Source organism: Homo sapiens, chromosome 6 (genome assembly GCF_000001405.40).
Source record: "Homo sapiens chromosome 6, GRCh38.p14 Primary Assembly".
Lineage (NCBI taxonomy): Eukaryota > Metazoa > Chordata > Mammalia > Primates > Hominidae > Homo > Homo sapiens.
Window position 1 is genome coordinate 68,703,990 of NC_000006.12, and position 23,346 is coordinate 68,727,335.

The following is a 23,346-nucleotide window of genomic DNA, read 5'->3' on the forward strand; positions in this document are numbered from 1 at the left end:
TTTAAAGGGGGCTTTAGCATGAAGCTTACTAGTGAAAAGTTGTCAATATATTAGTCCCTAATACATGTTTATGACCTATTTGATTATACAGCATTTTACCATTGAATAACATTTTGACATTTTAAACATAAATTATTATGAAACACTGTGTACATTTAATTTGAAGGTTGTCCAAATTTATTATAAAATATGAGAAAGAAAACTGGACTATTGAGCAAAGCATGATGTTATTGAAGCATCTAGGCTTATTAACCTAAAATACTGTATCTTTGTTGTTTTAACAGTTTTGCTCTGCTTTTAGATTTGGGGCACTTAGAGAATAATGCCAACCTGATTATCATTCTCAAGTGAGCTTTCAAGAGTTCATTAAAAGTTAAGAAGAGAACAGCATGCTCTGGGAAGCAGCTATTTTTAACAGCAACAAATTTGAATTCACCTACTTTAAAGCTTTTTGCTGTTTTTAGAAAATATTTCTATCAATAACTTTGAGATTAGAAGTCTATTAAGGTCACAGTTCACAGTCTCATAACACAATATTCTGATATTTTCCCCTTCTGACTGAATTCATGAGAACCAAATTATTTTACTTAAGAGGAGCCTACATAAATAAGCAGAGTGTACATATTTGCTCTAAAAAGAAAACAAACAAGAACTTTGAAATGTCCAGTTTAATTGGAGTCCACAGGTATGTATAATTATGCTTTGATTTGATAAATCAGTGCTAAATAATCTGTGAAAACCTTGCTTTGTGGCAAAGGGCTCCTTTTAGCAGGTAAAGCTTGAAATTCCATCAATGAAAGTAAAATCCTGTATCATTAGGTATAGTTTTGTGTCAAATCTAAATGAAACAAACAGTCTTTGAAAGCTATAACATCTGGTTAGTAATTTAGCTATATCACAAACAATATTTTTAATTACGCTTTAAACATATCAGTCTCTATTTATTATAATTAAATATTTAGAGAAATACTGGGAAAATATTTTTTAAATTACAAAATGCATTTATAAATAGTTACCAGAGAAAAGAAAGCTACATTTTTGAAATGTTGTATTTAAAACAAATCACAGATTTTTGTTTTTCTAGAATGTTCTTGCTTCCTTTTTATTTGTCCAGCTACTATTTATTATTAGGCACCAACTTTGTAGTCATTCCCTTCCCTCTAGCTCATTACCCTAAACATGAAGAGTAGCCTAGCTATGTCATATTTTCAAATACAGCATTCTGTAACACTCAATATAATGTTTGCTTGTATGTTTTCTCCACTAGAATTTAAGCTCAAAGAGTGTAGGGACTGTGATTTCTCCAGTGCTTATCCATTGCTATTTGTGTTTTCAATTGCACAGAGTAAATGCTCAATAAATTGGAATACTTGACTTAAGTTCTGAAGCCTCTCTTCTCTAAAAGTCATTGTAATGTAAATCAGCATTTCAGTGGTCTTGAAAGGGAGATAACGCATTTCAGGATCTCCTCCTTTCCTTTTTAATATAAATGTGTGTTTGTTTGAAGAATCATGATGGAATCAAACAATCTAGGCTTCTAACTCTGTGTCTCACTCTGTGTCTGTCAGTGCCCCCGACCACACACCTTCAGAACCAGATGGACATGTGAAGGGTTTAATTGAAGAGAGTTTAACGAAAGGGTTATTTAAAGGTGTGGGCAGTGCTAAGTGGACTAATCTGAGATACGGAAACATTCAGGGACTAGCGCTGAAGAAATAATAGAGCTAGACTGTAGTTAAAGTGACAAGCACAGATTTTATTTAGGAGCTACTGCAATAGTGGAAAAGATACTTCAGCATAGTCCTGGAGTCAGTTCAAAATACAGCATGGGCAAGTGAGAAGTTACATCCAGACAGAAGGGTGGGAGTCAGTAGATAGAAAATTACAAAGAGGAAACATCAGGGGTGAGGAGTGATTCTGGCTAACCCAGCTTGACAGGATTCTTAGTGAAGGCAGGCCACGGTGATCAGATATCATCTAAAGGATGATGGTGGATGAGGAAGTTGATCAAATATTGAGGTGATCAAATACTGAAGTGGGGGGCATTCTCTCTAAACTGACAGGGTTTTTGCTAAAATTAGATGATGCAAAGGTTGTCACAGAGGTTGAAAGGTCTAGATGTAGTTGAGAAAAGCGTTCAGAGGAGGCTTGAGTAGAGTTTGGTCAAGGATAGAGTCTTTTTCACTAGCAAGAATGAGAAGCTGTTATCACCCCCAAAGGAGCAAAGAGAAGAAGGAACATTATAGGGTCTGGGACTTAGAGGAAAGCAGTCACTGCTAAAATTTTGACCCAGCAATGATGGAGCTGGCTGGGGTGGGGAAGACTAGGGACTGAAAAATAAGTACCTCAATTTGCCATAAAAGATATGGTGATGTGATTAAAGCAGCACACATTCCTTTTGGTGAACATAGGATTTTACTATACCTAGGCTATAAGAAAAAGCTTGTTACGAATAATGGAGGTGACCGTATGTGTATGGCACATATGTGCATCTGCATGTTTGTGTTGTTTCTGTAGCAGCAGCATGACTTGAGCACCAGCTCTGAGCCACGCTGCCTGTGTTCATATTCTGGCTCTGCCACTTACTAGCAATGTGACCTTGGGCAAGTTACTTAATATTTCTATGCATTAATTCTACATCTATGCAATGGGGATAATGGTATTGTCTGCTGTAGAATAGTATGAGACATACAAGTTCTGAGAATAAGTTTGGGACTTAATGAGAACTAATTAAATGTTAGTGTTACTACAGGCATATGTAATAATTTTTTTCCCAGTGCATATATAATATTGTAGTCTACCCATAGCTAGTCGTTTATAATTAAGATTGTTTTGATGGAGGCTGGGCGTGGTGGCTCACGCCTATAATCCCAGCACTTTGGGAGGCCGAGGCAAGCAGCTCACCAGATCAGGAGATGGAGACCATCCTGGCTAACACAGCGAAACCCCGTCTCTACTAAAAATACAAAAAATTAGCCGGGCATGGTGGCGGGTACCTGTAGACCAAGCTACTTGGGAGGCTGAGGCAGGACAATGGTGTGAACCCAGGCGGCGGAGTTTGCAGTGAGCCAAGATTGCACCACGGCACTCCAGCCTGGGCAACAGAGCCAGACTCCATCTCAAAAAAAAAAAAAAAAAAAAGATTGTTTTGATGGAAGGATTTGCTGACAATGACTATATCAGTGACAAAACAGATTTAAAAGTCATCTTTTCATTTTCGTATGGTCTATTTGGACTGATTGTCTAATGGATTATCTTGAAATTGGCCTCCAAATAGGCTGAAATCTAGTTTAAATCACATCTGCTTGAATTGTTGTGCTCTTAGATACGTTCCTTCTCAGCAGCACATCTGGATTCATCCAGGTACTTAAGAAACTCCTTTTCGGCAATATGTCCTGTTCTAGTGAGGTAAAACCATTTGTGTCTATCTGTGTTTGTGTGTGTATTTGGAAGGGAAAATATTCCCAATATATGCCATTTATTAGTATAAAATTATAGCCAATGAAAAAATGAGTTTATTTTTACCTATGTATTAGTTGCTTACATTTAACATAATTGACATAATCCAATCAAATGGGCTAAAGATTAAAATACAGTTTTCTGTATTTGTGAGATTAATTGAATAATTATACTTATAAATTATTGAGAAATAATCTTTGTTCTTATTAAAATAAGTTCATCAATTCACAGTAATCACAATATGAAGTAAATTGATGGATAAAATTGAGTGAATTATTTTAGAAAGAACTCCAGTAGTGTAAGAACTGTTAAGAAATTAGTTATTATCATTCCCCCTACTTTTCCTTTATTAGAAAACCAGTCTCTGCTCAGAGACTCAAGAGGGAAGGCATAGGTACAGCACTAACACAAGGAAGGACAATTAGACTAAGTCCATTAGCTTTGTAGAACTGAACGGGAAAGTCAGTGCCTCAGGGGCAAAGTTCCTGTGCAAGAGGATGGCTAAGCAGAGACACAAGAAAGTAAAGTCACAGAGAGACACAGACAAGCACCCCAGCAAGCTTGACGATTAACCAAGAGCAAAAAAGACAAAGACTATCTGGAGAATTTCCACTTATTCTGAGGCAGAATTTCAATTTGTACACTTAGGGTCCATGAAATTTTCAGGTAACAGACTTTTTGTATTTGAGCCAGGGCTGACCCATACATTCCTTGGCCAGAGGCAATTTTGACTTTGTGGTTTCTTGCTTCCAATAAAAATAATAATAATAAAATTATATTGTAGTGACATTAGTATAAAGAGAGATATAACCCAAGCTATATTATGTTCAACTTTTTAGTGAAGCAAAAGGTTCAAAATGTCCAGAACATTTTCTTCTTTTGATTTCACAAGAAATTAAAGCATTTCTAAAGACCTCAAAATGTATCTGGGGTCCTGGACCCTGTGCCTCCCACTGTGCCCAGTGGCTAAATTGGCCTTGACTTAGCCTTCTTTGAAAGCATTTCTATTCCCTGTCCTCGAGTAATCCTTACCTAAGAAAAATGACATTCTCCAGTGAAATTTCCTAAAGGGCCCAGTTCAAAGATACATAAAATCTGTAAAATTAACAGAAGTTTGAAACATGTCACGTGGTTAGATTTTTTAAAAACAAAACCGAAGACGTCCAATTAAATAGATCTAACATTTAAAAGTTCCTAACCACTGACGTCTGTGCTAAATATTGTTTAAAAATGTTTTGAATTATTTCAAGAGTAGCTAATTAAGAAGAAAATATCTTACTGTTGATCCATGTCAGATTTAAAGCTTCCTTTGATTTCATTTTTAAAATAGTTTTACTGAAAATTAAGTGAATATTTCATACTTGCAAATAGTATCTAAGGAAATTCTGAAAATGAGCTTTTGTTTTGATTTTCATTAATGTCGACACCTATTACCAATCTGTACCTAATGTCACTTTTTTTTTAACTTAATAACATTGAAATCAGAAAAAAAATCATTATATCTCACTAGGCACAATCACTGGGATTTTGATGAAAGGAAATGCATTTCTCATGCAGTCTTTTAGTAAGGATTTGTTTAAAATGCGGGTTGTTCTACTTTAAAGCTCAATGCTCTGGACATTTTGAACCTTTTACTGCATTAACTGCATTCATTCTAAAATACCTTTCAATTTAAAACAGAAGATAATTGTAATACCTTGAAGCAAATGAGATGTTATTGCAATAATTAAATCCAAAATGAGATGCAGATACTTTAGACCTGCTGCTATTTCAGCTATTTAATAGCGAATAGCTTTTCCATTGGTCACACTGATTTCTTTCTTTTCCGGTTGAGATGGAGTGCTGCATACTAATCATATTCTAATGCATTTTACAAGAGGTAAAATGTGTATTAAGCTCTATCACACTATTTTAAATTAATATAACTTTGCAAAAATTATAATACTTAAATGACATGATGTTTTCATCCCTCACAAAAATGCATCAGATTTAAGAAAATAATTTTACATAACAATAGGTAACTTGAATACTAAGTGGTTTTTCCACTAATGAATTTGCCAGAGGAATCAGGGGGCTTTTCTTATTAGTTTTCTCAAGCTTCAGAAACTTTCAGTGTTTAAACTGTGCCTCAACATTTCAGCTGGAGGTGTGGAGCTTGTCCATGTGATTGAATATGTGAATGGCTATACTGAGAGAACAAAGCAACTATTTTTTTCAAATAGTGTCATTTTTTTCTCTGGAAGGAATATCATTTCCATCAAGGACATAGCTCATAAATTAAAATATTAAACCAGAATACATTATTTATGTCAAACTACGTATGCAAAAGGACGTTTCTGTTTATAGAAATAACCTAAATATCATATTTCTCTTGAAGAACAACTTCTAGTAGATGTATTTCTCTCTTGGTGAAATAATTACGTGCTTCAGTGTTTGAGAAGCTGAAAACCACTACATTTTTGGCTGCCCCTCTTAGCCCTTGCCTGTGGCATTCCTTACTGCTCTTCTCTCCCCTTTTTCTTTAAATCTTACTTTAAAATAATGGTAATAGCTGACACATGTTAACACATATTGAGCACTTACTGGGCACTGGAGTAATCTGAGGTCCTGGAGCTAGTCTGTGGACAGCAAATGTGCACCTAGGTGGTCCAGCTCCAGAGCTCATGCTCTTAACTTCTCCCCATCAGGGGGCTACAGAGGCTGGCAAGTGGGGAGGATGGATAATGCTTTTGTAGAAAAGTGTTCTGAATATAACTTTTAACCTGAGATCTTAACAAAAGAATCATTCCCTGTAAGCCCTTTTTTTATCTGGTTCTCTGAATGTTATTACTTACTTCCACTCTAACTCTGGTGCTGTGGGTTTCTGTTTTCCTTCCCTCCGGCTCACCAGGCTCCCACCTCTTCTGCTGCAGCTCTTATTTTGGGTAGTTCTCACTCTTCTGCTCCTGCCTTTATTACTAATTTTTTTGTATTGACATTGGCATTTCTTAATGACAAATGCCATCTGTTATTTGGGTTTATCTGGTCTCTCTCCTGGCTGCAGATGTGCTTTTGCTGAGTGTTTAAAGAAGTCGGCTTCTGTTTCCTACATCTAAACTATTTTCATAATATTTCTAGTTTAAGACAGACCCTTCTCTCCTCCTGACACAATGACCTTGAGGGAATGAACTGGAATCAGTACCAATGCACCAGCCTGGCCTCTGCAGTGTATATCTCTACTCTGGCCTTCCTAAAAGGGATTCCTTTGTAGAAACTACTGATGATTAGCAGGTCACCCTGGCTCCAACCCTGATTTCAGAGCCTTAGATTTGGGGATTCCTATTAGCCCAGTGTTTCTCATCATTTCTTTGCCTTAGGTTCAGCTGGCATCTTTACGGGAATTGAACTCCTAGAGGTGTGTAGTCCACAGTTTTAAATCTCCCTGTGTTCTTGACTCCCACGGAAGTTTTCTTTCTGGGACCCCTTTTATTCCTTCTTTCCTCCCATTTCTTGAAATAATCAAAAGACTTTGGTGGGGAAATGTTCCCTTTAAAAGGGAAAAACTTTCTAGTTCCCTTGATCCCTTTTCACCCTTCAAACTCTACTGTGAAATTAACCCCAGCAAGTCTCCATTATGTATCAGTACATTCTTTGTTTTTCTACCCAGGCCAGCTCTCTCCCTGCCAGTTCTCTGCATCCTCATGGAACGAGGGCAATTGATGCTATCTTTATCTTTCCAGATCTCGGATTCATAAGCCAAGACCTTATTTCTTTTCTCCTACCAAGAGCGTGACCTGCTTGATTTTTCTCTTCTCTCTTTTACAGTTATTATAAAATTGTCTTGAATTCCTATTCCTTCCAGAATGCTGGAAAACTGATTTCCAATCTCTATTTTTACAAAGAAGTTTTCAAAAACAATATCTATTTTGCACAAGTGATTATGGCTAATTCATAAGAAAACAAACAGAATTTACGAACTTAGCAAATGTTGAGAATTATGAAAATGCCAGAAAAAAACATTTATATGCAGTTCTCTGAAGTCTTAATTCAAAATGAAATAGGAGCTAGGTTTGCTTTCTAGTATGCCTTTGGAAATTGTCCCTACCTTGACTTTCTGCATAAATGGTCCTCTGCCAACATCCGTGTTTTGTTTTGTTTTTCTTTGTTGGTTTTTGGCTGAAGAATCAGCTAGCCCAACAAAGCTAATTACATTTTAACTTCAGCAAAACTGAGGTTGACTTGACTGCTGGGTCTGCTGTTAGCCCATCCCTTCAAAAGCATGCTTGATGGTCCATTTCTCTTTCATTCTGTATAGATAAGATTGATTCATTCATACTCATGGCTTCAATCATCACTCAGTTTATATCTGCACAGTCATCACATTACTCAAATAAACATGTTTCTTACTCCTTAGCAAGATAATCATAATTAGCATGAAAATTTATCAACATACCTAAGCTCTATGTCAGTGACAATATCTTACCTAATGAGGTAAGACTGGGAGGTGTTACTTTTAGCAGAATGTACTTCATTATGAAGGCATAGGTTTAATGGGAATGTATCTTAAGGATTCTGTCTGTTCTTGCCTTGAAATATTAGGCTATGGAAACAAAAGATAACTCCAGGGTAAATATTTTTAAAAAGTAAGAATTAAATCTCCAAAAATAATGACTGAGGGCAAAATATTATTAATAAATTTATTGAATTTCAAAGTGCACTAAAATTTTTATGAAACAGGAGTTGGACAGAGGCTTAATTTATGCGTATAACATCATTTTGCAACTTATCTGAGTTCAGCAGAGATAAAATTCCTTTCATAAATAAAGAGGCGGCAATTTTTGGTGACTGAAAAAAAGGCAAAGGGCACAGCTATATTAGCAATTTTGGTCTTGATCGACACCACAGGCATTCAGTAGCTACTATTTCAAATTCATTTTAAACTCTTTTTTGCATTTTAATAGTTTTGCTTCTAACACTAGAATGCAAATGTGAATTTTTGCCTCTAGCGTGTTTTATTGCTACCTTGTCAAAATCACTAGAAATCTATATTATTCTAACACTACATTACATTTTTCAGAAATCAGAAGGAGAAATAATGTATGAGTAAAGTCAGAGGGTATGAAAAGATGTTTTGTGAAAAAAGGGACAGAAAAAAATGTAGAAATATAGGAGGAAGGACTAATAAATGGGAGACATAGGAGAGAGACAAAGAAAAACAGAGGGAAAAATATGAGAGAGGGGTTTGGTAAATTATGATCATGGATGTTGAGACCAGTTGAATGGATTTTGCTTTCCCTGTTTACTTAGATAATAAACACTTTCAATTTTTATCACTGTTGTTGGGAATACTCACTGTTTAGTAGTTAAGGATACTTCTTGCTTACTTGAAAGTAGTGTGACAGCTTTAGTTTTCAGAGTTCAAAGTTTTGCTTTCTTAAAAATAAACCTTATTAGATACTGATAATTTTACTAATTAATAAAATAATTTTTTTTATAAATTCATTTTGGAACTTTATAGATTTTGGTCAATTTAGTAGATGTGTTTAAATGCCTCTTTGACATTCAAATATTGACAGCAATTTTTTATTTATACAGCAGAATATTTAATGCTGCCTTGTTCTGAAATAGCTGAAGGTTATACTTTGAATCAGCAGATTTTTTTACTTCTCAGCCTTTTCTTTCAGATAAAACTTAGGTTTATGATCTAATTAGGGATACCATATGGTGTCATCAACAATAACACAATGACACCATGATGGAAATAAAATGGCTGAGAGATCAATGGATTAGGCACTTTTCCATGATTTCCAATTTTTGTGAACAAATTATTCAGATAATGTTCTTCTGAATCAAATAATCAAAGCATCTGCCATTTGTTTACTTGCTCTCATTGAAAATGCTTCATATCTGGACGATTCCAACTTCCATTTTTTTCTGATTTCCTGGAGTTGATGCTTCTTAATTCTTAGGCATAGTTTATATGGTCACAAAATCATTCCCAGACTGAGCATTGGAACCATTCTGTCCACTAGAACTTGATTTCTGCCTCCATCTTTGCTTCTCAGTCTGCCACTCTTTCCCTTTCTGACTATACATTGCTTTCTGAATCAACTGGAACTTTCATAACTCTATCTAACATTTTTATTTGCTTTTCCAACTTTAATTACACTTCCCTTTCTCATGTTATTTTTCCAGTGGTACCTTTCTTGTTAATAGATTGCCCTCTTTTTGCCCCTACATTGTAACCTCCCATCTAGTATCTTTTCTTTAGACTGAACACTCCAACAGTAGCGAAGTATAACTCCTCTCCTTTCATTTACTCACAACTCTCTCTATCTTTAAACCCAAGCTACAATTTTAGTTTTACATCTATGAATTTGAAATTAATATTTATTATCCCATGATAATTTATCTATTTATATGTATAGTTATGAAAGAATTTTATATAATCATTATATAGATCTTACAGATTTATTATCAAATTTAAATTATAACAATCTTTGGATTAAAATAATTGTTTATACATTATATATTATGCATTAAAATTATATATGGCATTTTATAGAAAAGGATTAGTATGGAATAACTTTATTCATGAGAAGGACAGTAAATAGTTGATGTTCTAAAAGAGTATTTTTTGGCAACATACAATCCAAGCACTTTGTACTCATTTTTTTAACTATAAAATGTAAGCTGTTAATTGCTTGAAAACTTTTATAAAATACTTGCATGCCTTTGTGGTATTAATTTGTACTTCAGACTTGAATCTCTGATAGCTTTTTGAATTTCAAAAGAAATCACTACTTATATATTATTTTAAAAACTTGTTGAGCTTTCATCAGGGTAGTCTGACAACCTAAGCAACATTTTAGTTCCAAAAAACAAAAACATATCAAAGAGACCATATCCAAAACAATAAGGAGATTTTTAATTAGTCAAATTTTTTTTTGTCACCATATGGTGACAGTGGGATGGCTGATGTGCAGGTGTGCACTAACCACAGCTAGGCTCATCTATTTATTTTGCCTAATAGCCGATCTGGAAAATAATGATGAAAAATATTGAGGAGGTAGAAAAAACACAGCTTGATTGAATATTCTGTGTACCACAAAACATTGGTGTATTGAAACATTGTGTTGAAAGTTGTTTTCAATCTAAAAAGTATATGTAATGAAGATAAAGGGAAAAATACTGAAGGGTTTGTAAAATGGTAAACTTGTGAGAGAATAAATTTTATAATTTGATATATGGTATATCTCAGGAATAACAGTGATTCATTTTCAACAGACTGGGAAATATAAAAGGCATTTGATTTTTATCTTAAAATATCTGCTAGTTTAATATAGTCAATGCTTAAAAATATATAGACTTTGGAATTACATCTGGAATTCCTTTTCTTTTCTGACACTTTGAGCTTTGTAACCCTTGGGAATTAAGTTCTCTGAGATTAAGTTACAGATGAGATTAAGTGATCTCATCTGTAAAAAAAGGTTACTATAATCCATGTCACATTTGAGGTTGTGAGGAGAATCAAATGAGTTAGTGCACATCAATTGTACTAGCAAAGAACACTACAGTGCATAGTAGTTATATTTATCATCATTACAGCTTTGCATTAAAAATAGCTTTGATTCATGACAAAACACAAAAGACTTTGAAACTATTTCTTTCATGGCAGAGGGCAGGTAGTACAGCAAAACTATAGTCTGATAAGAAAATAATTGGAAAGTACATTAATATTAATAACCATTATGGTTCTATATATTGAAATTGCATCAGAGACTTGACTGGATCGCTGAGGAGTATAATAGTTTCTATAAGCCTCTCGGTAGTAGCCCTCCAGATTGTGTAACGCACGTCTGCACTTTATTTTTATCCTGCTTCTGTCTGTCTCATTATAGGGGCTTGTGAAGAAGGTTTACTGAGGTTATATCAAATACCAAGTATCTGTGATATCTTTTCACTTATATTTTCTGTTTGCTCCTCACAATAATACTCTTCACTCAGCAATATTAGACCCTTTTCAATAAATGAGCAAGAGGAATGGAGAAGGGCATGACTTTGCCATAGTCATGTGTACCAATAAGTGATGTACCCATACTAGAGCCAAGGTTTTTCTCATTGCCTAGCTCATTCTCCCACTAATCTTCCATGATATTTCAAAGATTGTTATTTGTCCATATTTCAAAGTTTTGAAAGGAGGGAAAGAAATTGTTTAGTAAATGTATGGGCAATTAATATACTTTGTTTAAATCATTCCATTAGTTGCTTTACATACATGCTAATTCTTATCCTAACTTTATAAATCAGCCATTTTATTTTCCCTTGTGTCTATTAGGGTTCCATCGGCTACAATTAACAGAAAAGAATTAAACTCACAATGGTATAATAAAAAAGGAAACAATTTTACATAACAATGTGCCCCAAAATAAGAGCAGAAATGACTATTGAGCCCACAAATTGCAGGAACCACTACACTCTTTCTTGGAGTAGGTGTATTGGGGTGTATGCATCTGGTGGCGGGGGAATGCTGACCACCCTTGAGATTTAACCTGTCTAAACGTCAAAAAAATGCCAAATATTTGACTTACATTGTCTTATCAAGACTGGCATTATATAGATTAAATAAAGAAGAAATTGAACTTCAGCTATGTCAAATGAGTTATTCAAGGTTATACAAATCATAATTGGTAAACTGGGCATTCAAATCCAAGCTTTTCTAATTTAAATAAAATCTGTAGTTTCTTCAGTGACCACATTGCTTTTTTCATGTAAATGTCTGGGAATACCTGGAGTTGATCCATTCAGCTGCTTTAATTAAAATATAGGGTAGGTGTTCATGTGTTCATTTTATGTGGAGATTTATTTATTTATTTGGACAATATTTATAAGTGCAATCTAATTGGAAAGATTGAATTGTTATTATCCTGCCTGATTCTTGCAACTTCTTAGCATGTCCATGATCAAGAAAGAACCTTGAAGATATTAAAGTTCTCTTCAACTGTGGGCCCATGTTTTACTGGTTCTGTAATATAGACTGTATTTTCCATATTTATTTGGACCCGCTAAAATTTGCATCACAGCTCATTTTTTTTTTTTTTCCTAGAGTTGTAGGGGAGCAACTCAGAGCAACCCACAGAGCTAGCATTTCTTTCCAACTTTGCTTTCAGGAATATCACAGTAGTAGCTTGAAATCACCAGTGGTAGGAGTATTTACACCATAGATATTGACAAACACTGCAAATAAGAGCTCTCTCCTTCTTCCCTTGCCCACTTCTTACCTTCTGCCCTGAAAGAGCTAATTGTTAAACTTTTTTGAGTTCATCATTGCTCTTAATTCTTTTACCAGGAAGCTTGCTGACATATTTAGGTGATTTGTGGAGAGTCTGCATCCAGGCAAAATGTTTTATCCTCCTGTTCCCTAGAGATAAGCTCTGACTTCTGAAAATGATTTAGTTTCTATGAGCCTGTAAATTTAAGATTCAAATATTTTTTCTTTATTATAGGATTTATTAATATTCTCATGTTCTTTATTTTCCATGAAGAGACATTGTGATAAAGCCGGCTTTCTTCATTTCTCACGTAGGAGCTTATCTTTCTACATGGGATATTCGGCAGTTTTCAAGTTCTACTCAAGAATGTTTTGTTGAAATGGCCCTCTCTTTCAAAAAGTACCACTACATTTTATAACATATTTATCAATAAATTGCTTCAATTTGCCTTGAACAACCTTTCAGTAAAGGCCAGTTTTTAAGGGAAAATTTTACTTCTGCCGTATCAACAGTTTTAAGTGTTAAACATGCACAGTTCTTATAAAGGTTCTTATAGCAATATATCTATATATAATTCATAGCATTTTATAATAATTCCAAATTTAGAGCCACAGTTATAGATGCTAATGTCCCCAATTCAAATTATATTCAATAAAAGCCTTGGCATTAAAAACGATATGTTTTAGAATGTTACATCATAACAAATTTTAATCTAAAAATGTTGTAGGTGTCCAAAATGAGGAAAATAAAATGAAAGTTATTTTATAGAAAGTCTTCCTAAATGGGTAAAATAAACATGAGATTTTGTGTAGATAAGTGCAAGGTGATGCATTTAGGGAAAAGTGATTCTACTTATAAGGCAGTTGGCTCCAAGAGAGCTCCTGTACTGGGAAAGCGCTGGAAGCACCATTTTTTTTTAAGAATTTCATGTACTTCTATTGATTCAAGTGTTCTTCATATCACTAGCCATATTTAATAAAGATATAAAAATTAAACTAAATATTTCTTAAATTTTATAAATTAATAAAACATTATTTTCTATCTACCATGTTATGTAAGCTTTGTTAATGTGTCTCAAGAAAAAAATATGGAGAAATTTCAGTGGACAGATGATTTGTTCTAGAAAATGTGAGGGCAAGGATGTGAGTGAGAACAATGAAAAGAAATTGTATATTTTATTTCAGAAAGCTGAGGCCTGGTAGAAAGAATAACTGATGGATAAAATCTCAATGTTGAAACGATATAATGAACACAATCTATTCACTGAGTTGAAATAGGATAGAATGGGGAGGAACTTCTTGAAATCATATTAAACAGTAAATACAAAACTTCTAAAACCTTTTCTTGAAGAAGGGATAAAGTTTCAAAATGGGCTCAAAATCATTCTAACATTGTTCAGCCTTTCTTAAATGTTTTGCCTATTTTAAATGTTCAAACTCTTTACTTTCTCTTAAATTATTAAGGAAGGGTGTTTAGGGATGTTTTAAAAAACCATGGATGTGAGTGGTTCACAAATGTTCGTGTGTTCAGAGTCATAACAATGTTTGCTCAAAATGGAGACTTTTAAGCCCTACGACAGATCTACTGAATTAGAATTTTTGCAGATTGGAGCCCAGGAATCTAAATTTTAACAAATACCAGAGATGATATAGCTAAGCCATGGACCACTTAGAGAATTACCGCTTTTTGTTGATGTCAAGAAAAAACATCCTAGGATAGTTTTACAAAACATGACTGCCTCCTACTAACATATGTTCTAGTGCCTCTGTCAGCTCCACTTAGAGTGATCTGCCACTGACTCATTGAACAAGTCTTATGTTGTTACGCCTTTTGTATTTTCTCAAGTTGTTCCCTCTTGCTGAAATTCCCTTCTCTCCATATTTACTTATTGAGGTCATATTCATTTCTCAAGACCCATTTTATGTCTCATCTCTTCTGGGAAATCTTCCTCAGTACTCAGTCAAAATCTGTCTCTCAACCCTGTGTTTCCATAAGACTTTGCACGTACAGCATTTATCACAGTATACCTTGTACTTATACGGAGTTATTTTACCTACTGTGTAAGTGCTAATCTATCAGCTAGAGCAAGAGGTTGGCAAATTATGGTCTGCAGGCAAAACCTGGCCCACTGCCTGTTTTGTAAATAGTGTCTTATGGGAACACAGCCACGTCTATTTGATGACACATTGTTTAAGGCTGCCTTTGCGCTGTAACAGCAGAGTTGAGTAGTGATGACAGGGACAAATGGTCCTCAAAGCCTAAAATATTTACCATCTGGTTCTTTAGAGTTTGCTAGCCTCTGAACTAAAATGTGTGGTGTATTGTGTCCTAATTATGTACTAGCACTTAATAGAATGTTTTGTAGAGAGTTGGTACTCTTATAAGTTATATAAAGTAATTGGTGAAAGGATGAAGAATGAGTTGGAAATATATGTTTATTATGCCAACAGGGTAAATATAAACTCTTTTTCTATTCCTGCCTTAGTTGGTTTTTAAGTCCGTGTCCCTGATGTTATTAGTGCTTCAATAGAACCTTCTGTGATGATCTGTATCTATACTGTATTCTGTATCTATGCTGTCCAGTGCAATAGCCACTAGGCCTATATGGCTATGGAACATTTTAGGTATGACTAGTGTGACCGAATAATTGAATGTTAACTTTATTGAATTTTAATTAATATAAAGTTAGTTAAAATTTTGTAGTTAGTGACCACCATATTGGACAATGTAGATAGGGGCACAAATAATTACACCTCAAAACGAACAGCATACAATGAGAGTGAGAGCGTAAGATAAATTAATTTAAGTCATATTATAAATTCTATAAGAGAACTCTGATGCCTCTGTTTAATTAACAGTTACACATTGGAAAGATACTCTTTGTGATCCCTAGTTGTGTTTTGGCTAAGCGCTCAATGTTTAGATGTGAAGAAATTAGAAACCAGTTCCAAAAATTAGAAAAGCTCTTACAGATACAATTTCTCTTCTCCTATTTTCTTTTTTTTTCTTTTGAATCTATAGGAATCACAAAAACCTTTTTTTTAGTGGTCTTTCAACATTTCATTGATGATTTGGCATCAATTCAAAGAGCAAATGATACCAAGATAAAGTGAAAAAAAGGAAATTAGAAACACCCATTGCTTCACATAGAAATTCTATGTGTGAGTATGTATATGCTGAGGTTGGGCATGGGGGAGTGATAAGGGTCAGAAAGAAGAGAGAGAGACTGATTGACAGCTTTGGGTGCATTATCACTGGTAGTGATGAAAAGGAGGGCTTTCATGTTTCAACAACTCATTTAGGTAATTACCATTGTTCCACTTGCGTTTACTGAAATTTCATTAAACTTCTTTGTGCATATGAACATATTTGATATGAATCCTACAGCCGTGGAAAGTGCAAAATCAAGGAATCAACTATGAATTGATATGTTTAAGCCTATGGACCTGCTTTGGGGAAGAGAGTAGAGACCTAGCTTGCATATGATGAAATGGAGTAGTTTTTCTGGAAGTTGATTTTTCTGGTTCTTCAACTGCTAAACTAGAATGTATCCATAGTAGAAAGAGGTGGCTTCTTTAGCATCAACTGCTAAGACAGCCCTAAATTCATATGCCTGGTATAAATCCATGGCACACCTCCCTGATCTGCAAGAACACCCCTCAGGCTATGCATTTCTTTTTCATAATTGTATTTTTTTCTTATGACTAACCTTGGGCTTTTTAATTTTACCTGATTCGAGTTCAATAAAAATGTTGAAGAGGCAAGTACTCAGTGAAATTTGTATCAGAAACTCTAACCTCTGGAAGGGAAGTATGACTTATCAAAGATACAAGTGAGATTAATTGATTATGTTAATGCAGTCTCTTTATTCAAGGTGAGAAATGAGTGTTAGAATACTGAATCTATTACCATTTATAAAACCAAGTGCATTCTTTGCATAGAATAAAGTACAATATCTCAAATCAAGAAAAAATGAAAAAAGAAAAGAAATGACCATATGTGTTTTATTTTAGTCCTGCACTCTCTTCTTCCCACGGTTACCATAAGAATCCCACTGAATTTATGGGAAACACTCGCCTGACTTCTCCATGCTGCTGTAGACAGTGACACACACAGGGTGGAAGGAAGTTGTTTCTGCTGTTACCTTTCAGAGTCTGCAGAGCAATAAAATACCAGGTTAGATGATTATAATGATTGTTGTCTTCTTGTCACAGATAATCATTTTAATACAATGTTTAAGCTTTCTGAAAGTTTTTTGTTCTTCAAAATGGGCGAGATATACACCTAAATGGATGTGGAGAAATAGGAACACATTTACACTGTTGGTGGGACTGTAAACTAGTTCAACCATTGTGGAAGACAGTGTGGCGATTCCTCAGGGATCTAGAACTAGAAATACCATTTGACCCAGCCATTCCATTACTGGGTATATACCGAAAGGAATATAAATCATGCTGCTGTAAAGATACACGCACACATATGTTTATTGTGGCACCACTCACAATAGCAAAGACTTGGAACCAACCCAAATGTCCAACAATGATAGACTGGATTAAGAAAATGTGGCACATATACACCATGGAATACTATGCAGCCATAAAAAAGGATGAGTTCACGTCCTTTGTAGGGACATGGATGAAGCTGGAAACCATTATTCTCAGCAAACTATCACAAGGACAAAAAACCAAACACTGCGTGTTCTCACTCATAGGTGGGAATTGAACAAAGAGAACACTTGGACACAGGAAGGGGAACATCACACACTGGGGCCTGTTGTGGGGTGGGGGCAGGGGGGAGGGATAGTATTAGGAGATATACCTAATGTAAATGACGAGTTAATGGGTGCAGCACACCAACGTGGCACATGTATATATATGTAACAAACCTGCACGTTGTGCACATGTACCCTAGAACTTAAAGTATAATAAATATATATATATATATATATATATATATAAATTATCATCTCAACTTCAATAAGCTATAGATGTATGTATTTATAATAAAGCGCTCTGGTCTCCCCTAAATTATCTTAGCAGAGGAAAGGAAAGGAAAGCTCTACTTTAAATGGGTATATATGCCCAACAAGGTGGCAATCCCTAGTATTCAGTAAATTCTTCTTTCCCAATATAAAGATTTTTAAATAAGAGAAGGGAGAACAAGACAATAAAAATAAATGTTTAGAAATGTGGATTAAGCATCTTTTTAATGTATGATATTTAATTTATTAATGCAACTACACAATAAGTTTTCATTAATCATTTTTTCATTTGCATTTTATGAAACAATTTTCTTCATTCTTCTTATATATATATTCTACAGTTGTGTCTACATTATTCATGTTTTTTTAGTTATCTAACACAGATTTACAATATAATCATTTCCTACTAAATCATTAAAAATTTAGCACTTTTGAAATCTATGTATGATTTTATTCCAAGCCACCCATATGAATTTCCACAAAGTAAATATTTTTAAAAATTGATCTTGTGGTGTTTGGTTTTCTGTTCCTATGTTAGTTTGCTGAGAATGATGGTACACCACATGTTCTCACTCATAAGTGGGAATTGAACAATGAGAACACATGGACACAGGGAGGGGAACATCACACACTGGGGCCTGTTGCGGGGCGGGGGTTGTGTAGGGGAGAGATAGCATTAGGAGAAATACCTAATGTAGATGATGGGTTGATGGGTGCAGCAAACTACCATGGCACGTGTACGTCTATGTGACAAACCTGCACTTTCTGCACATGTATCCCAGGACTTTAAAGTATAATAATAATTTAAAAATTGATCTTGAGGTATATATTTGTGGCTGCCACAAAACTTCACTGACGCTTAAAAGATGAAGTTATATACCACCTTGGATATTGAGTCAATTTGTGTTAAATTTATTTCTTTTTCTTTTTTTTTTTTAACTGAATCTATCAGGTTACTTCTTTTTCCAAAACCATCATTTCTTCAGTACCTTTCAATTAGATATGTGTTCCTAAAAAGCACTTTATTTTTTTTAAATAATGTGATTACAGACTGTCCCGTAACATGAGACATGTGTGAAGACCCAAATAGAAATCAACTCTTTTTTTCCTAAAGGATATTTTAGACAGTGACTTCATTTTGTCTATATTTAATTATTATATAGGGTAATGTTCATTTTAAAATCAGATGAAGAGAACAAGCAAACAAACAAACAAACAAAAAAGGCAAAAAAATGAGAGGTTCCAAGGAGAAAAATACATTCAGCAAAAAGCCCACAAAGTCATGGTACACTCTGGAGGGACACTGTAGGGTTTTTTTACAGGCATTCTTTTGGTGAACTTGCCTGTTGGACATGGCTATATTCATATCACAATGTTTAAAGATAGTAAACATTCTGTCATATAGTGACTTCAGTTTGTTCTGATTTTCTGCCAAGCTAAGCAAACCTCTGATAATTTAGCTTTTCATGTAATTTATTTATGAAAACATAATATGAAGATGTGACTTGTAAAAGATAATGTGCCACATGGAGTCAGTTCTTAGATCAGCTGGACCCTACATTTTCCTCTATGCTTTTCTCTTTTATCTATTTTTCTCAGGTCAGGTGGTTCTTCTTTAACTGGTATCTTCTATCTTCAGCTGTTAATGGATTCAGTGAAATCACAGCCAAGGTTAGCCAATGTGGGAGACAATTGACCTCTTTAAGATAACTTTTTATGACTTCTGTCTTACCTGGTAAGCGACAGTTCGATAGGTTAGCTCACAGAGGGCAATCTTATTTCCCACTTGCACTAAGAGTCTATAATCCCTGAAGATGAGTGGTTATAAATTTTTTCTGCCTCACATAAAAAATTGTGTTAATTACATATAGAGAAGGAAGTCAAATGCTGTTGGTTCTGTAGGTTTTCCCAGGGGTGAGGATAATTTATCATCTATCAGCACTATGGATTGGATATACCTTGGGGCTAAGACATATTTGTAGAATTGCTGAGATAGAATACGACGTATAGTTTCAAATATTAGTATTTACTATTTTTTTCTAAAGACATTCTTTCAATACCTATTGCCTCACATTGTACTATGTGGAGACTATATAAAGAAGTATAAATCAAGTTGGTCGCCACTACAAACGGTGGTTCTCAACTGGAGATTATTTTGCCCCCAGCGGACATTTGTCAATGCTTGATAACATATTTGAGTGTCAGTATCTAAGAGGTTTGTACTGACATCTGTTATCATCTAGTGAGATTTAAGGATGTTGCTAATTATTTTACAATGCACAGGACAACCTTCCACATCAAAGAAATATACAGCTCAACAGTGTTACAGTTGAAAAACATTTACCTAGATGTTAAGACAAATGTAAATAAATTTTAGCATGACCGCAGGGTCTCTAATAAAAGTATACATGAAATATTAAAAAAAAAAACAACCTCAGTGGAAAGATTGTTTTTATACCATTGATTTTTAAATTTTATATGGTGCTTGTTATGTACTGGTCCAGAAATGTTGAAGTCCTGATAAATACTTTCCAGGGTCATGTAGAGGTCACGTTATCACATTAGAAGTCCTTTTAGCCATATTGCACAGATGCCAAATTCCTAACAAGAAACAGACTTTAACTGTAACATGGAGAATATGAAACTAAATAAGAGATTCTATGGACTGTTACTGACTTTTGGGAATGGCCAACATATAGGTCAATTGCAGGTCAGTTTCTATATTTCAATAGTTTATTGTCCTAGGAAGAAAGTTCTAATTTAATAAATTATTGCTTATGGTGAAAACAAACATTTCTGCTTCTTGGAGACTAGCAGCATCTTTTATAATTTAAGAAAAGCCCACAAAATTTGTATTAGAAGTAAAAAGAAAAATAAAATTTTAATCTGAATTCCTATGTAAAAAATAAAAGAGTTCACTACTGACTATGTTTCTTTGATTTTTAGAGATGTGATTCTGACAGTCTAAGCACAAAAACCCATATTTTTTTTTTTTTTGGTAAAAACTCACTTTTCCTGAAGATTCCTTATAAAGAGACCTTCCCATTCTTTTCTACTGATTTAACTTTTATCATTGGAAAAAGAAAATCCAAGAACCATTTACTTAATTCATCAAGCAAATGCTTAAAGCGGTGTGTTGGGGCACTGGGAATATAAATGAGAGCAAGACATGGTCTGTGCATTTGACAGAAATATTGTTACAAAGTTTATAACAAAGGCATGTTTGCAACTAGCGTACACACCAGAATTTCTAGAACTGTCTTAATGTTTATAATCTGGTCTGTTTTTTTCCGCAAATATATGTATATTTATTAGACCTGTGGGAATGCTACTGGGAGTCATAGAATTGCACCACCAACCACATTTGGGGGTATGAGAAGGCTTCACAGATTAGAAAAGCATTGGTATAGTCTAGGCGGAAGAGATGGGACATTCAAAGTCATTTTGTAGCGTGAGCATGCATCACATGTTTCTTAAAGAATAAACCTGTGCTCATCCCCTGGTTTGTTGGAGGAACAATGGGAGCCAGATGTGGGGCTTCAGTCTAGAATTTGAAGGATGTTAGAGGATATATTGAGAATTTTAGGATTTATCCCACATATAATATAGATCCCTAAATGTTTAAGGCAGTGAGAATCACATGATTAGATTTTTGTTGTAGAAAGAGAATCCAGGCAATAACCCTGAAAATTGGTTTGATAGAAGAAAACTAGAATGATAGAAGCTAATTAGGAGGCTAGTGCAGTAGTCCACATGCCAAAGATATGAAATAAGCCAGAAGATGATATTACCCAGAATGAGATGTATTCATACAACATTTCCACCACAAATCAAAAGGTATTGATGACCAGTTTGATGTCAGAGGTGAGGAAAACAAGAACTTGAGAATGATGCCATGGTTTTAGCCTGAGTAACATGGAGGTTGCTGAGTACACTGAAGAACTGTTTTGGGAGCAGGTGGTATTTAGTTGCCTGTACAATATTTAGGGAGCATAAAAAACTGATCTTATCTCAGGAGAGAGGTTAGAGTGAAAATCAAGATTTGAGCATTATTAGCAACTGCAAGTGGTGGTTGTGATTCTGAGGGTGGATGAGTCAACACTAGCACAGATCACAGAGTGAACAAGGGGGACCATTGACAGATGTTTAAAGGAGGGCCTAGGAAAAGGAGCCAAGAGCCTGAAATTAAATTTAATTAATTAAGGAAATACAGAGAGCTCCCAAGGGATTGTTGTCTTGGTAGTCAAGATTAAAATAGAGGAAGGGTGGAGGTGAACAACAGTGTCCAATTTTGCAGAACATAAAGGCTATTAAAGAGGTCTATGGATTTGGCAATGAGGAAGCTAATAATATTATTGGCTATAAAATTCCCCATATAATTTCTAGATAGACACCAGTTCATGCAGTTAAGTAAGTGTTGGAGGGTTACTGTTTACTTTAAATTTAGTTCTAGTGAAGATTATCTATCAAATATTGTATGCTGGAAAATTTTCTTCCATTATCTTTTTTCTGATCACATGACATTTTTTCATCTAAAAGTATATAAACCTGTGTAAAAACTCACTTATACCAGGGATATAAAAAGCAACTTTAGAGATTATCTTCTCTGCCTTCTCAATTCAGAGAGGAAGAAATTAAAATTAGAAAAGTTGTGCCTTTCTCAAGATGTGCACACAGTCAGTTGCAAAACCAAATTTGGGATTGATCTCCTGATTCCTGGTCTGATATGTTATCCATTACTCCATGAACAGAAAGATAGAGGTCATTTCTATGCAGAGAAAAACAAATGAGCTGTGTCATTGCAGAAATGTTCTGCATGGTTTGCTGCCATCTGTCTTAAAGCTCAATCTGGACTCCTAGGAATTGGGACTGCTGAGCTGCATTTAGATGGACCATGTGGACAGGGCACAGAAAATCCTTTATTTGGAGGGCTTGGTTATTTCCCTATATGGAAAATAAAGGATACAAAATATTTATGACAAGATTAAGAGCCTAGAGCTATAGAATTTTTGAGATCTGACATCCTGTTTTGTAAGATTCTGGCCCTACATGTCTTTTTGTTAGACTTGCTGTATTTTATGTTTGTTAAAACACAGTTGGAGAACAACAGTAAACATTGCTTTTGGAAGAAGAAAATTATAAAGCAGACAGGGCACTGGAATGGAAGTCACTATATTCTAACCCCAACTGTGATATATTATGTGCTTTTGGATGCTGCACACTCTGGGGGCTGCAGTTTCCTCATTGGATAAAATCAATGTTGGAAACTAAGATCTCTTGAAGCTCCCTGAAGATTTGCTCAGTCAACTTCACATGGCTTTTTGAAATTTAATACCTTTAATCAGAAATGCTCTCCCAGGTTACCTTAAGTCCTCTTGTCCAATATCCGTGTGGTAGCCCCTGTAAGCATTTGGGTTTGTGATCCCTGATATCCAGTTCCTTTTCAGCTTTGTCATTCAATGATGCTACAACAGAAGGATTCAGTGTTAGTAGCTTTGTGGAGCAAAGTTTTCAAAGTATTGATTTATTCTGTTGAAATTGTGAAAACAAAGGCCTTAAAGCTGTATCTGTGCAACAAAAATCTAATATAAACTCAGAATTCTTCTCTAGGCATATTGTTTGTTGTGGTAATGATATAGTTGAAAACTTTTGGAA

At 34.7% G+C, this 23,346-nt stretch overlaps 1 protein-coding gene and 1 long non-coding RNA gene across 2 annotated transcripts in view, besides 1 other annotated feature; one reads left to right on the plus strand and one right to left on the minus strand.

Annotated features, from left to right (window-relative positions):
• ADGRB3 (adhesion G protein-coupled receptor B3) overlaps positions 1-23,346 on the plus strand; it is a 754,225-nt gene that overhangs the window by 68,708 nt on the left and 662,171 nt on the right. The window lies entirely within an intron of this gene.
• Positions 15,788-16,082: a silencer, noted in NCBI's record as "tiled region #12937; HepG2 Repressive non-DNase unmatched - State 24:Quies, and K562 Repressive DNase matched - State 8:EnhW". NCBI's record gives its function as "represses a minimal TATA promoter and a strong SV40 promoter by Sharpr-MPRA in HepG2 and K562 cells {active_cell/tissue: HepG2 | K562}" and the evidence as "EXISTENCE:reporter gene assay evidence [ECO:0000049][PMID:27701403]".
• Positions 16,557-23,258, minus strand: LOC124901492 (uncharacterized). Its single transcript, XR_007059925.1, has 2 exons — positions 23,056-23,258; positions 16,557-16,864 (listed from the first exon to the last, which is right to left on the minus strand). It is a non-coding gene; the product is annotated as an uncharacterized LOC124901492 (long non-coding RNA).